This window comes from Homo sapiens, chromosome 13, assembly GCF_000001405.40.
Source record: "Homo sapiens chromosome 13, GRCh38.p14 Primary Assembly".
NCBI classification, from domain to species: Eukaryota; Metazoa; Chordata; class Mammalia; order Primates; family Hominidae; genus Homo; species Homo sapiens.
Window position 1 is genome coordinate 42,967,162 of NC_000013.11, and position 16,341 is coordinate 42,983,502.

Sequence of the window (16,341 nt, forward strand, 5' to 3'; positions counted from 1 at the left end):
TGCCTAGGAAAACCAGAGACCTTTGTTCACTTGTTTATCTGCTGACCTTCCCTCCACTATTGTCCCATGACCCTGCCAAATCCCCCTCTGTGAGAAACACCCAAGAATTATCAATAAAAAAATAAATTAAAAAAAAAAAAAAAAAAAAAAGAAAATCAGCTGGAGACCTCAACCTGCATTTTTAAGAGTCTGAGGGTCTTATTGGATTCATGCCTAGAACAGTTAGAGCCTAAAGGTATAAGGCTGTTGTCCATTGGCCACTGAGATGAGTCCTCAAGAAGAGGTAGCTACATTACAAATGGCCCACATTCACAGTTTATGAAAAGAAAGAATGCACAAGTATTTCCTGTACTTTTAATGTGATTCTCATGAAAGAGAATGCCAACCTAAAGCCATCTAAAGGGACTTGCCTATGAGGGCCATGTCAAGAACAATGGAACCCTAAAAGGAGTCTACCAAGAGCCAACAGTGAGGCCAAGCCCTGCCGACAGGAGAGGAAATCGTCTGTATCAGGGAAATCCAGGTGGGAGATGGGTAGCAGAGAGTGGGGGATGCTGAAAAACTCGAAGATTCCCAGGAAGAAGAACGAGCAGTCAGTGTAAACCTAGGCTCAAAGAAACAAGGATCACTGCATTACGAACCCCGAACTCTCTTATCTCCCTCCACTTCCCCCTTCAATCCCAGAAAGGTCAGAATCTGGGAACAGAGCCATGAATAGAGAAAAGTCCAGCCACACCCTGTTCTACTTGCTGGATTCCTACCTGAAACAGGCCTGGGTTAGAGCAGGGGAGAAGCTCTCATCTCCATTAGTAACAGAATTTTGATCAGTACCTAAGACTGAACATTAATTACTGAAATGAGACTGTTTTAGGCCTAGAATTAGCTAGGTCACTCTACTGTTTGAAAGAGACCAAAAAGCTTTAATTTCTTACATCATCCAAAAAGCCTGAGAAAGACTGTTCTCACATAGCCAATCTCAGGGGCCAAGCTAGGAAAGATTAAAGCTGTTTTCTGATTGTACCCTTCGAGTCTGGCTCATTTGCACAAAGGAGGCACTTGAGATTAGCCCTTTTCACGAAATACAGTGGGATGATGATAATATTACTATTACTTCCTCCCATTAAATAATTTCCAAATTAGATTATTTTTACCTATGTTCTTGGTGGGGGGGCAGGGTGTGGGGAGGGAACTTCTCTAAAACTATCACAACCGTAAGTGGCCCCTGACACAAGACATGCTTGTATTAACTAAATCTGTGGACACTGTGTGTCCAACCCTTTAAATTTTCGGCTGCTGATAGAAGAGAAAAAGCAAAGAAAAGATGTGAATGATTCCCATTAGGTGGCATCCCTTCTGAATGATTCAAACACCGGCAAAGGCGGCCCAGACAATTCATCACACTGGCAGCACCTGCTCCAGAGGCCCAGAGGTCTCTATCTGTAGAATAAAAACACAGGTGATGTTTCTCTTATACCCACCACCGGGTTTCCAGCTCACTCTCATCTCCCTCTTGGAACTGACTCTCCACTCCTTTTCTTCAGATTAACATTTAACTGCCATGATTAATATGCTTGTGCCAGCATTTACTCCCATCCTGACTAGTGCTATGACAGGGCATATGCAGCGCCCCAGGTAAGCTTTTTCAGAGTCAATCATCTAAGAGGCTCTAAATTATTTGGCAATTAAGCCATCACTGTGTTCCCATAGAACTCTGGCATTACAGGTTTGCTACTTGCAGAAAATCAGAAAAAAAAAAAAATACACACACACACACACACACACACACACACACAATTAAATGCATTCCACCCAAGCAGCACAATGACCAAACAAACTACAATGGACATTCACAGACAGACATATGCAAGCTGCTTACAGGATCCATAGGTGGCCCCGCCCTCCCTCATTCCGGCAGCGGCTGTGCTTGCTTACCTAGCCGTCTGGGCACCAGGTGAACCGGTTTAGCTCTGTTCTGCTCCTTCCACTTCTCCAGGTTGGCCAGCTCCTGCTCCGCAACTAAGCCAGGCGAGAAATATCAAATCGTCAATTATTAGACTTCTAAAAGAAAACCAGTCCCTTCAAAGCATAAGAAACAACTATTAGAAGGCAATTAACTATATGTGAGCATGAGTGAACAAGGCTTCCAGGTTAGAAACACAATATTCAGCCCTGACCCGTACAGGTCATCCTGGGCCCGGCCCTGTGGCACATTCTCACCAAGAGTCAGCACAGAGGGTTCGAATTTGAAAAACCACCTGGGCTCCTACTAAAAGAAGTATAGATTTTCCTACCATTCTGGCATTTTTAAAACTCTATATCAAGTTAATTTTTAAAGTTACCTATAGAAAATGTGTGCAAAACTAGAATATTTTCACGTCAATAAGAACTTTCCACACATAGGTAAACATATCCCCAGAGAATTCTGATGCCCATACTCGCTTTATCTTCAATGCTCCCAAGCTTACTGCGACTCTAGGGAATGAGGGCTCGGTGCTACAGGTGGAGACCCTTGCTCTGGTTTCAGGCACTCCAGACCACTGTGCAGAGTCGGCTTCCTGGGGAGCAGGGCTCATTTCCTAAATGTTCACTCTGCACGACAGCAGGGGGCGCCAGAGAGAAATTAGTTCTGTCACTCCAGCGCCTCCCCTTATCTCCTCATGAGACCTGTTTCAAATGTCCATTACTAGAAAAACAAATTCTGAAACATTTCGAAATCCAGACCACATTGAGACTTAATCTCCTATTAAGTATTTAAATCAAAAGCTTGTAAGATACCAGAACTGCTGGCAGTTCCCATAGTCCCTGCATGGCTGTGATTGTCATATTCTGCACTGACCCGCTGTCCCACCCGGAGCTACATGTCCGGTGGAGACTCTTTAGAGAGCTTTTTCCCTTTTGTGCCTTTCTGTCCATCATTAGTCATGAAGTTAAATTTCCTACCAATCATGTAATAAAGGAGACCATCGAATTTCAGCATAGCCCCACAGCTGGACTTGAGCAAGCCTACAATTTCTTTGTGAACTAAATGAACTTTAGTTCTCTTCCACCTCTAAAGGATAATGCTATAACTTTAAATGGCAGCATTTATATTTACTGTACATCAATTAAACATGTTATGTACGCATTAAGTACAGAGAGCACAAAAACGAGTAAGATGTGGTCCCTACCCTCAAGGAGGTTTATTGGCAATAAGTGTAAAGTTGTTCAAGCCAACAGAAATCCAGGATCTACCATCATGTCATGAGTTCTGTTACTAACGTAGAGAAACAAACTTAGAAGTGTTAATAGTAGAATATTTTTAAAGGTATAATCAAAACTAAAAAAAACAAAAAACCTTGATGAGATTTGGTGAGTCTATATAAATGAGAAAATAAAAATACTTCACACCAAAACAAACCAATTGTAAAAAGAGAGAAGCATTCTGAATGTTAAATGAATGACTATACATACTTCTTTGTATCTCATTTCTCCGGTTTATATTTGGTGCTATCAAGGTGTATGCACTTGTGCTAAAAGGAAGAGAAAAAAAAATGCTTATTACCATGAGAAACTACCAATGCATATAAGCCACCAGATATTTTTCCTTCTATTATACTGTATTTATGATCATTACCATCAAATAGGCACTATGAAAGATAATCTTCTTAAGACCCTGATCTGTTCTCTGGGACCTCACAATCTTGATGTCAAAGTAAAACAAAGGACATGGCCAAATATGAAAATATAAAGCATTCGATGAGTGACAAGTGACTAGTTGGTGTACTGTCCTTGTAGGGCTCCACCGTTCCTCTAGGTGGTGCTTGTGAGTAAATTCCTTTAAGATGGCTTTAGATTGGCATTCTCTTCTGTGTGACCACACCGGGGTACAGGAAACATTGGTACATTTTCTGTTCCCACAGACTGATCCTAGAGGCCATTTGCAATGCAGCCACCTCCTCTTGATGATCTGAGTAACTAACTGGCTTTTAGGCTTTGACTTTTCTAGGCCTATGTCCACTGGTCTCTTCTTCTCCTAGGGACACAGGTTGAGCATAATCAGGGGCTCGGAGAAGCAAGGAGTCATTTCAACCAGGCGGATCAGGGAAGACTTTTTAAGAAAAATATTCACCTCTGTGACACTAGGAAGCTGTTAAAATATTGTGAGCTTTTGAGGGCAGAGAGTGTGCTTGATTGATGTGTATTCCAAGCCCCTGGCACAGTGTCTGGCACAAAGACATTGGCTGCTTGATAAATGTGGGCTGAATTAAAACAAAATGATGCTACAGACCCAGCCTGTGAGTCTGTGTGGGGGTGGCTCTTTTTTGAGATGATGCACGTGATCCCACAAGAACATGAATACTCCATTAAGCAATAATATAGCACAGCAACAGACTGCAGCATACATGTAGGTACAGTTTTAAGAGAAATGCTGTGGATAAACACAACCAGCTTCTAACTGTAGGATTTAAGAGGGAGGGAAAAAACCCCACCCAGATACTCTTGGAAGTCTCTCTCTTCTACCTGAATACACAATTTCAAAGGGCAAATTAGCAAAGATTGAACTGTAGAGGCCAAAAGCACTGATCAACAGAAGCCATTTCCTTCCTTATCTCATTATTTTTCTAGCAGCTAGCCTTCAGCCAGCTTCAAACTGGGCTTTAATTTTAGACTTGTAAATGTGAGGTGTGCAACAGCCTTTGCATGCAAATGGGGCTGCTGGATGCCCAATTACTTAATGTATATCAGCAGACGTTGCATGTGTAGCCTAGCATGCATACAACGTTATGAATACAAAATTAGGAGACTGCCACTGGCAATTAATCCCTTGTCCATTGCACATTCTTTGTACACCCTAAGAAACATTTTTCACTTCTGAATTGCCAGTACTTTTTAGGAGCTTGGAAGCTACAATCCCGTGGGTAGTCCCTGGAAACTTGAATATGATGCAATGGTGAGCCATGCTACAGAGACTGAAAGCTGAAACATCAGATACGAGACGTAAATGCCAATCATGAAATTGCTACACAATCTTCAATGTCTGCTAACATTGTGGTATAGAGCTTCTCTCTATACCACAAATTTGACTATACTCCAGATCAGTAGTTCTCAGCCTTTATCGTGCATCATAATCACCAGGAGGGCTTGTCCGCGAGCTTGAGAGTTTCTAATTCAGTAGCCTGCGACTGGGTCAAATAACTTACATTTTTAACAAGTTCCAAGATGATGCTGTTCTTGATCTAGGTACCACACTTGGAAAACCACTACTATAGAGCAATCAAGCTATCTTAGAACATTTGGGATAAAAGAAAACTTAGGTATTCATAAATCACTGGTAAAGACACAGAGGTTGAATCTCAGGCCAAAGATCACCAGGTCAATTGAGCAACACTGATGAGACTCCAGTCTAAGACTTTTGACTTAGATCAGTTTTCTGTCTGCAGCTAACTTTTCAACTCAATGTGCAAAGCATAAAATATGACCATCCTTTAACTTTAGTCCCTTGATAGACTTCCAAACAATGCAACCTACTTAACTGGGCACTTATTATGGATTTATTGTATTAGGGGCTTGTAGAGAGTGAGGGGAGATTCCAGAACAGGGATACTAATCACTTTAACAGAACTTACACTTTAGTTAGGAACAAGTCAAGAAACCACAAAAGCACCCCACGAGAATATCCAACCACTCAACATGAGTTCTGGATGGGGAAAAAAACAAAAATAAATAAATAAAAAATAAATTAAAAAAGAATACCCAAACAAGTCTTAAAGTGGGAATGATGTAAGTACTCAGAGATCCAAAACAGTGGAGATTCATAGAGACCTCAGAAGAGTAAAAAACTGAATAGCACGAAATAAGAATAGTAAGTTGAGGCTTAAAGAATAGGATCTGAAATAGCAAAAGTGTTTCTTTGCCAGGACTTTGCCAAAAGCAGCTTCACAGAGAATTTTCCAAGTCCATGAGTCTCTCTTACGGAAATTTTGCAAAAGGTTTGGAGAGAAAAATCAACTCATTTGTAAAAGATTGTATTCTACAATATCTAATCTGGTTAAGTTTTTAAGTCCGACATCATACTAGAATCTTCCATCTTAAGAATAGGACTTCAGTCAATCTATGGCCAATGTGTGTAGCTTACAGGTACCTAATAGAGAAACATAAAATAAAGGGAAAGAATTAGCTCTGAATTTAGAGGGTTTTTACTGAAAGCATTTTAGCATAAACCCAGGCAGTGGTCCCAGTAATAAACGTTTTATGTAAATTTTATGTGAATTGCTCAGCAACCTTCTCAGCAATATTTTATTGACTGAAAATGCCAAATCTGAAACATGTTATAATAGTCCCAAGAAAGCATTGCCAAGTAAATGGTAAGGAACTTAGCTTCTATTTCTATTTCTTAATATAAGAAGAAGAGCTTAAGTCAAAGGATATGCTTTTTATTTTTTAATATCATGTGTCAGAGTGTAATGCCTTAGTAGATACAAATATTCATCCCTTCTTTCTTAGCTTTCTCTTGACATGAAGAGCAAGTATAATTTATTAATGTTTTCAGCCAATTAGTTTGTACCCACAGCAAAGGCCTTTGCTGTTTTAACCTATGTGCTATCTCTTCCAACAGCCTGACTCTCAAAGTTGCTAATCTAGACAAGCCCAACAACCAACATTTCGCATTCTTGTCATTTCCTGATTAAGCAACATTCAAGCCACTGAAATAAATATATATATTTGAAAATGAGTCTCCTTAATTACCTCATTGAAATTTAATGAAAGATCTCAATTTGTAAGATTATTTTCACTTTCCAACAGCGCACATCCGTGAGATATACTGAGGGAGAATATATGAAAGAACAGACAAGATAAAATGTTTTTCTGCACCATAAGAAACATAAAATAAAAAGATATTCAAGAAATGTTTGGCCAAGCGCGGTGGCTCATGCCTGTAATCTCAGCACTTTGGGGGGCTGAGGCGGGTGGATCACTTGAGGTCAGGAGTTCAAGACCAGCCTGGCCAACATGGTAAAACCCTGTCTCTACTAAAAATACAAAAATTAGCCGGGTGTGATAGCACACGCCTGTAATCCCAGCTACTCGGGATGCTGAGGCAGGAGAATCGCTTGATCCCAGGGGGCAGAGGTTGCAGTGAGCTGCGATCATGCCACTGCACTCCAGCCTGGCCGATAACAGTGAAACTCTGTCTCAAAAAAAAAGAAAAAGAAAAAGAAAAGAAATGTTTTCCTGGCCGGGCGCGGTGGCTCACGCCTGTAATCCCAGCACTTTGGGAGGCCAGGGCGGGCGGATCACGAGGTCAGGAGATTGAGACCATCCTGGCTAACACGGTGAAACCCCGTCTCTACTAAAAATACAAAAAAAATTAGCCGGGCGTGGTGGTGGGCGCCTATAGTTCCAGCTACTTGGGAGGCTGAGGCAGGAGAATGGCGTGAACCAGGGAGGCGGAGCTTGCAGTGAGCCGAGATTGCGCCACTGCACTCCCGCCTGGGCGACAGAGCAAGACTCCGTCTCAAAAAAAAAAAAAAAAGTTTTCCTTGCGAGGTCTCTCGAGTTACACAACTGCATCTTGTGTGTACATTCTTGCACAATTTTTATAACTTTTTATCAATAAGTACTCTGAAAAAATGTTATGTTGAAGTTATCAAAAATATCTTGGCTGGCTAAAAGTATTACATAACAATATCCCCTGGTGTGTACAAACTGCACCAGATGTAATTTAAATTTGTAATTAGGAGCAACACTGGTTTGACAGAAAAAGAAATGCAGTTAAGAGCAAAAGTTCGGAAAGAGAAAATTAAGTGAAAAACATAATTTCAAGCAGAATAGTAGACATGTAAAGTCTACAGTCCTGCAAAAAGTTGAAGTTTTCATAGTTCAAGAAAATCTTATCCTTGGGTATATATAAATTGAAAAAAAAAGACTTAGAGATAATCAAAGGCATTTCGATACTTATCTTTCCAGATAAGACATTCCATATTGGTTTTTGTTACATGACCTTCAATGTAAGAATCAGAAACTTACTGTTTTCAGTCAACATTGAGTCAAAACTTTTGAGGCATTTAGGTTTCCAAAAGTTTGTTCATACATAGATCAAATTCCCAAGAATAATAGAAAATGACAAGACCAGGCCGAGCGAATTACCCTTGACCCCTAAGCCTATATTATACCACCCCTGATCAAGTATTCCACATCTCCAGTGTGGAAACATTTATGAATTGTCTTTGGCCTCAGAAACTACAGAGGCTAAGATACTGTCTGCACACCCAAGAAGCTGATGTGTAATTGATTAGTTCTTTCATCAGCACAACTCATTGCCTCTGTTAGACGGCTGAATACAGACACAGTGGGTAAAGACAGATAAATAAGCAGGAAATCATCGGGGCCTTTGTTTATAGGATGCCTTTAAGAAAATGAGAGGCATACACACCCAGGATCCCCATGGCTTACTGAGATATTGTAAATTCATGCAAACTAGAAAAAAAGTGCTGCTTCTTTCAGGTGGAGGTAATCCCACACTAAGATACATGGTTTGGTATGTATCTCAGCCACAAATCACACCTTAGCTGGGCAAGTGTGTGTAGTCACCAATCTGCACAACCATATAGAATCGACCTGAGATGATGTATTTCTTCACTTAAACACACACACACACATAAGTAAAAGCCACACAAAAAAAAGTTAGCAAGAAGGAGTCACACTAAAGATATAAAGAGTGTATATGAAGTACAATATTGTAGAGACTCACCATCTTTAAGAGGCCAAAAACCAATGATGGGACCATCGTTGAGATGGAGACCAACTGGTAGGTATACTTACAAAATGTCTTGTAACTACTTCCTCAGTAAAAATAACTGTCAGAAATTCATATTTTCAGAACATAGAGATGTCAGGTCTGGGATTTGATTGGATTCCACTTACAAGCTAATAAGTTAGCCTGTTACTGTTTCACAGACACTGGCAGAAGACATGAAATTCCTGGATCAGAGTCAAAGACTTTATTACTGATGGCACAGTAGGCAGCATGAGCACCAGCTTATTTACATCTATTCTCTCTGGCCTCCAGTCTTATGATGGGCGCAACAGGATGGATGCTGCACACATGGTGTGTTTGCATTGCAGCTGATAAAATCCTTCGGGAATACACCATTTTTACAGCAGATAGTAAGTGAGCCTGGTCTTTGTCCTGGGAGAACAAACCTTATCTCTCAAGGTTCCCAGCTAAATAAATAACTCTAAGAAATAGGTTAAAGAGTGGTCTTGGCACATCCAACAAAACGTAAGTGTACCTGAGGCCCTAGGGGGACTCTCTTTTCCAGCAAGAGAATATTTAGTATTAACATTCATATTAAGAATGGCTTAATGATAAATAAATTGATATTGGCAGAAAAACCACTTACTTATGAAATGTGCTATATATTTTCTCTTCCCATTATTATTATTAATAGACTTAGAATGGATTATGTTTCTGTCTCAAGCCTTACTCAAGGTTATCTATAACTTAAAGGAAAAAACCAGAAATGCAAGACATAGTGATGTACTCCAAAATCTGTACATAGAACACTTAGAAATGAAATTCATGTTTTCTGATTTTGAAAGAAACATACTTGTAAAAGAAAATTCAGAAAACTATTTTAAAAACATTTAAAAGTCACATATAATCCCACCTCTCAAACACCACAATTACAATTTTATTTGGGTGAATTTACTTTTCATCTATGCTCTATACATATTATTACACAGTTGCAAACATATTTTAAGTACAGCTGTACATCCTGCTTTCATTTATAAGTGGTTTTCCTAATTTGATTATATATGTAACATGCTTAATTCTCAATGGCTATGTAGTATTTCATGATATTGGTGCATCATATAACCACTCAACTATTGCAACTGTTTCAATTATTCACTATTATAAATAATCCTACAGGATGTACAAAGCATAATGCTTTCAGCAGAACATTATCCAGAAGAAAACACTAACAGTCCTCTGAATTCAATACTCTGAACAGGAATGTGGGCTACATTTAAACTTTTCTTCCTTAGATATCCTATTTACATTTCAAAAATCTGAGACAACATAATCATATGATTAATTTCCACTCTTATGTGTGACATCCTTTATTCTTTAACCAAAAGAGATGTAGGCCCTACCCAACATTCACTCTCACTTCCTCCTTGCTAATAGCACTTCTGTATTATTCAGACAGAGAATGTGCCCAATTAAAAGACTACAGCCACCAACCTTCTGTATAGTTAGGTAAAATTATGTGATTAAGTTTGAGAAATTGAGACATAAGTGGAAGTCACGGAGAGAGATTTCTAGAAAGCCTCCTTTAAGTGGTGGTAGACAAATAGAAAAAGCTGTTTTGTTACTTTCCTTCTTCCTGGAAGGTTGATGTGGTAGCTGGTGCTCAAGCAACCATCTTAGTCAATGAGGCAACCTGAATATGGAAGACATGATCAGGAATGGCAGAGCAGAAAGTCAGAAGCAGTCTGGTGCTCTGTGACCATGAAAACACCACATCAGTGGTAATCCGTTGCTGTACTGCCCAACTTCAAACCCTAATTCTGTTATTTCCTATCTGTACAACTTTGAGCAGATTATTCAGTTTTTCTATTTTTTCACCTGTGAAATCGGGATAACTATCCACTTCATAGGATATAAAGTGCTGTGAACCCTGAATATCTGAGGCAGGCCTCAGTTAATTTATAAAGTTTAAAGGCCTGGTGTGGTGGCTCATGCCTGTAATCCCAGCACTTTGGGAGGCCGTGGCAGGCAGATCACGAGGTCAGGAGATCGAGACCATCCTGGCTAACACGGTGAAACCCCATCACTACTAAAAATACAAAAAAAAATTAGCTGGGTGTAGTGGCGGGCGCCTGTAGTCCCAGCTACTTGGGAGGCTGAGGCAGGAGAATGGCGTGAACCCGGGAGGCGGAGCTTGCAGTGAGCCAAGATCACGCCACTGCACTCCAGCCTGGGCCACAGAGCGAGACTCCATCTCAAAAAAAAAAAAGAAAGTTTATTTTGCCAAGGTTGAGGACGCACCCATGACACAGCTTCAAGAGGCCCTGATGACATGTGGTCTAGGTGGTCAGAGTACAGTTTGGTTTTAGACATTTTAGGAAGACATGAGACATCAAACAACATATGTAAGATGAACATTGGTTTAGTCCAGAAAGGCAGGACAACTGGAAGCAAAGGTGGGACAACGCATAGCGGGGAGGGGGCTTCCAGGTCATAATAAATAAGAGACAAACAGTTGCATTCTTTTGAGTTTCTGATTCGCCTTTCCAAAGAAGGCAATCAGATATGCATTTATCTCAGTGAGCAGAGGGCTGACTTTGAATAGAATGCAAGGCAGGTTTGCCCTGAGCAGTTCCCAGCTTGACTTTTCCCTTTAGCTTAGTGATTTGGGGACCCCAGGATTTCTTTTCATTTCACAGTTCTGAGAACAATGCCAGAAAATAACAAATATTCTATTATAGTTTTCCATTATTTGTATTAGATCATCCCTAGACTACCTACCTTCAGACTTATTTTATGGGAGAGAAATAAAGAAAGCCATAGATACTTACTTAAGATAACTAAGGGGACATCTATTGCATTGTATGTAATTATAACAACTATATATAACATATATGACATCTATTTTATATGTAACAACTTAGCCCTGAATCACTAGGACATCTCCTTTCTTCATGCTGTGACTGATTCCCTTTGCTGCATCTTCTTTCATAAATATATATCATTAAGTTTTTTCTAATTATTTCTTTATATCCCTGTTTCTGGCTCTTCCTTTTAACAACTGTATCCTGGTTCCTGATTCTTTCCTTTGAATAATAAGGACCACTGCATGAAACAAAGTAGTATTTATAAATAATACATCTTAAAAATTAGTACATATTTTTTCTCCTGTAAATGGTAGCATGATTCTGAGCCCAGGCTTTTTTCATTAAATTATGTATTAACGTATAACGTAACTACAGAAAACGGCACAAATTTTAAGCATACAGCTTCATAAGAAAAGTTCTTTTACATTCTCCAGGTTCCAAAAGAGAAAAGGAAAAAAATAACAATAGGCACAATGAGCTTTAGAATATCACCTAAAATTGTATTTCCCCCAATGTTTTAAGAAATTTTAAGCCGGTGGGGCACAGTGGCTTATGCCTGTAATCCCAGCACTTTGGGAGACTGAGGCGGGTGGATCACGAGGTCAGGAGATGGAGACCATCCTGGCTAACACGGCGAAGCCCCGTCTCTACTAAAAATACAAAAAAAAAATTAGCCGGGCGTGGTGGCGGGTGCCTGTAGTCCCAGCTACTCAGGAGGCTGAGGCAGGAGAATGGCGTGAACCCGGAAGGCGGCGGAGCTTGCAGTGAGCCGATATCGCGCCGCTGGACTCCAGCCTGGGCGACAGAGGGAGACTCCGTCTCAAAAAAAAAAAAAAAAAAGAAAAGAAAAGAAATTTTAAGCCTAACAAGCAAAGTTATATATTATTAAAATGAATATCCATATACTGTTTACTTATATTTACCAACTGTTAATGTTTTCCCACATTTGCTTTTTCTCTTTTAACCATATGAAAATAAGCTGCAGGGTCATAACACATCATCCCTAAATATTTTAGCATGTATCTCCTAAAAATAAAAACAGTCTCCTACTTAAATATAATACCATTATCACACCAAGAAATTTAACATTAATATTGCCTAATAGTCTATATTCAAATTTCCAAATTGTTTCCATTTTAATATTCTTCCCTACCTTTACCTCATCCTAGATCCAATTATGGATTACACATTTCTATGGTTTGACATGTGTTTGTAGACTCCTATGAGCTCAGACAATTTCCTTGACTTTTTTTTTCTTTCTTTCATGACTGACATATTTGAAGAGTTCAGGTAACTTTTCTTATAGAATGCTTCACAATCTGGATGTAAGGAAAAGATTATTTCCTCATGATTCGATTAGGTTAAACATTTTTAGAAAGAATACTAGATAAGACATGTTATCCAAGATGCCACTGTGAGAACAAAGGTTGTTTCCTTGTGCAACTAAATAATAAGCCAAAGTGAAAAACAAGATCCGTCTATATGATGGAGTGCAATCACAGTTTAAAACAAAGATTAGAAAAAGAGTATCTGTCACATTCTATTGGCAATAGAAATCAAAGGGCATTGTATTAGTCCATTCTCATGCTGCTAATAAAGACATACTTGAGACTGGGTGATTTATAAAGAAAAAGAGGTTTAATGGACTCACAGTTCCACATGGCTGGGGAGGCCTCACAATCATGGTGGAAGGCAAAGGAGGAGCAAAGGCACATCTTACATGGTGGCAGGCAAGAGAGCACGTGCAGAGGAACTGCCCTTTATAAAACCATCAGGTCTCATAAAACTTACTCACTTTCGAGAACAGCACAGGAAAAAACAGCCCCCATAATTCAATTACCTCCCATGGGTCCCTCCCACAATACATGGTGATTATGGGAGCTACAATTCAAGATGAGATTTGGGTGGGGACACAGCCAAACCATATTAGGCATCATGGCCCTAGGTTTTCTACTTGGAATAAAGAGTCAAAGAGTGCAATCTGTACTTTAGAGATTTCTTTACACTAAACTCTTTGAAGTGTTTATTTCTAAGGGTCAGAATTGCAGGGGACTTTCACATTCTGTATTATTTTTGAAATGTTTGAGTTTTTATAACAAGCAGATATGACTTTACTTTTATAATCAGAGAAACATATTCTGAAGATTTTTAATAGAGAAATATTTAATATAAAGATTTCTTATAGCAGGGGCTCAGCTTTTCTTACAAGATTAGGTAGCATAGGTTTCTGCTTTCACTAGTACCATAGTAAAACAAACAATGGGCAATACTAGCCCTTGAGTTTTAATGATGGTAAACATCTTCAGTTTTTCTACAGGACTTTAATGGATTTTCTTTTAAGTCTTCATATTTGCAGGGGGTGGGGGACAGGGAATTACAAACATTACAGAACAAAGGAACCATCATCAGCCGATTCTCTGATATAGAATAGACCCTTCAAATGCAGTCATCTCCCTTTGATTATTTTCTTTCCTCTTAAGCTTTTGTTTCAGATTCAAATACATTCTGAATAGATGCAATTAACCTTAATATGTATAACCTTACAGCACTCTACTGACTTTGAAGTAAGTAACCTTACTGTGTAATTGAACTAAGTTTCTTTCTCATTTCTGCTATGGTTCTACTGATTATTGTTAGTAATATGTTTTCAAGCTTTCATCATCCTGTTGATTTATTGTTTCACCGTTCCAGCTGCCAAAGACTTTTTAGCAATTCCCATTCATTTTTGGTGATATTGTATTTGAACAAAAATGATTGCTCCCCAAGGCTTGGCAGACCACAAATGCGTACCATACTGAGGAATGGAATCCAGTGCAGAAAAGTTGGAAATTCCTTCTAAACAGGACCATAATTTCTACCGTCCTGCACAAACAGGAATGTAAATTTGATCTAATCAAACCAAAATGTTTTTTTCTTTTCATCCACTCTGTCTCTTCTGCCATGCATAGAACTGTGCTTTTCAAACTGTAGGAGGTAACCCTCTAATGGGTTATGAAATCAATTCAGTGGATTTATTTTTAATGAACAAGAATAGAAACTGTCAGAGTACATCACATATAATAAAGGTGAAAATTGTTTTGTGAAATTTTTTCAGTTATATATACCCTAATATATACTCAGTCAGGTACTAGGTCATGATGTCAAATGAATTGCTCACTGCAGGCTATGATCAGAAGTCTGAAAAAAAAATCACTGTAAGTTACTATGTTGTTGAGGTTGCACAGTGAGAGTGAGATAACTGCTCTAATGTCAGAGGTGTTTGAACCAGAGAGATTCCACCTTGAATAGGGGCTGGGTAAAATAAAGCTAAAACCTGCTGGGCTGCATTCCCAGACAGTTAAGGCATTCTAAGTCACAGGATGAGATAGGAGGTTGGCACAAGATACAGGTCCTAAAGACCTTGCTGATAAGACAGTTTTCAGTAAAGAAGCCAGCTAAAACCCACCAAAACCAAGATGGCAACGAGAGTGACCTCTGGTTTTCCTCAAAGCTACACTCCCACCAGCACCATGACAGTTTACAAATGCCATGGCAACATCAGGAAGTTACCCTAGATGGTCTAAAGAGGGGAAGCATGAATAACCCACCCCTTGTTTAGCATAAAATTAAGAAATAACCATAAAAATGGGCAACCAGCAAGCCTTGGGGCTGCTCTGCCTATGGAGTAGTCACTCTTTATTCCTTTACTTTCTTAATAAACTTGCTCTCACTTTGCTCTATAGACTTGCCCTGAATTATTTCTTGTGTAACATCCAAGAACCTTCTCTTGGGGTCCGGATCAGGACCCCTTGCCAGTAACACTAACACAAGGCTACCAAGCTCACCTGTCATTTGTGAAAAGCAGCAGAACAAAGGGAATCCCCAGAGAAACTTTTCTCCTGCAAAGTACTTCTCTATTCAAATCATTTTAAAGCTATGATGGGGTTCACGACATGTTATCCCAAAATATAGCACCTTGGTATTTGAGAAAACAGCAAAAGGAGGAAAGCCTCTCTGACCTTCTCCCATCTTTTTCCCCTGAAGCAAGCCATAAAAAATTTCTCTGACCTTCCTCTAAGGTAGGTCATAATATCCTCATTTCAGAGGGATCCTCCCTCCTCCCTAAACCCATAGGAAAGAAGTGGAGACATAGAGACACAAAGAATTTGAACAAACAGGACTTGCTAAGCTTCCCCAGTTTATGTCATTAGACCATACTCCTTTTTGACCAATCATACTTCTATATACTATCCACTCTTCATCAAACCTAAGCATAAAAAGACACAGTTTTCCCTGGTTCTTTGAATCTTCATTTTTGGATGCTCCTATGTCCTATAAAACTTATGTTAAATGAATGGGTATGCTTTTCTCTTGTTAATCTGTCTTTTTTTATAGGGATATCAGCCATGAACCTAGGGATAGGTAAGGAAAGAAATCTTCCCCTCTCTGCAACTGTAAATGTCACATTACTGCTTCGATATTACCACTCTCTTTAGCCTATAGAACTTCTCTTTTCTTAATGTCAATATAAAACAATGATAGGGCTGGGCGCAGTGGCTCATGCCTGTAATCTCAGCACTTTGGGAGGCCAAGGCAGGTGGATCACGAGGTCAGCAGTTCAAGACCAGCCTGGCCAACATGGTGAAACCACGTCTCTACTAAAAATACAAAAATTAGCCAGGCATGGTGGTGGACACCTGTAATCCCAGCTACTCGAGAGGCTGAGGCAGGGGAATCGCTTGAAGCCAGGAGGCGGAGTTT

At 39.5% G+C, this 16,341-nt stretch overlaps 1 protein-coding gene across 14 annotated transcripts in view, besides 1 other annotated feature; it reads right to left on the minus strand.

The window, feature by feature from the left end:
- Positions 1-16,341, minus strand: part of EPSTI1 (epithelial stromal interaction 1) — a 105,854-nt gene that overhangs the window by 80,774 nt on the left and 8,739 nt on the right. For 6 of the 14 annotated variants that reach the window (NM_033255.5, XM_005266596.2, NM_001330543.2 and 3 more), the window contains 2 exons: positions 3,451-3,509; positions 1,933-2,016 (listed from right to left, as the gene is read on the minus strand). In NM_033255.5, the coding sequence (NP_150280.1) occupies positions 1,933-2,016; positions 3,451-3,509 (143 nt within the window). Of the gene's footprint in view, positions 1-1,932; positions 2,017-2,465; positions 3,511-3,613; positions 5,585-5,606; positions 8,962-16,341 lie in introns of those variants that run through there. The other 8 variants (NM_001331228.2, XM_011535313.2, XM_047430780.1 and 5 more) reach the window with 7 other exon arrangements.
- Positions 10,120-10,289: an enhancer, noted in NCBI's record as "active region_7656". NCBI's record gives its function as "activates an Ori minimal core promoter by ATAC-STARR-seq in GM12878 lymphoblastoid cells {active_cell/tissue: GM12878}" and the evidence as "EXISTENCE:reporter gene assay evidence [ECO:0000049][PMID:35858748]".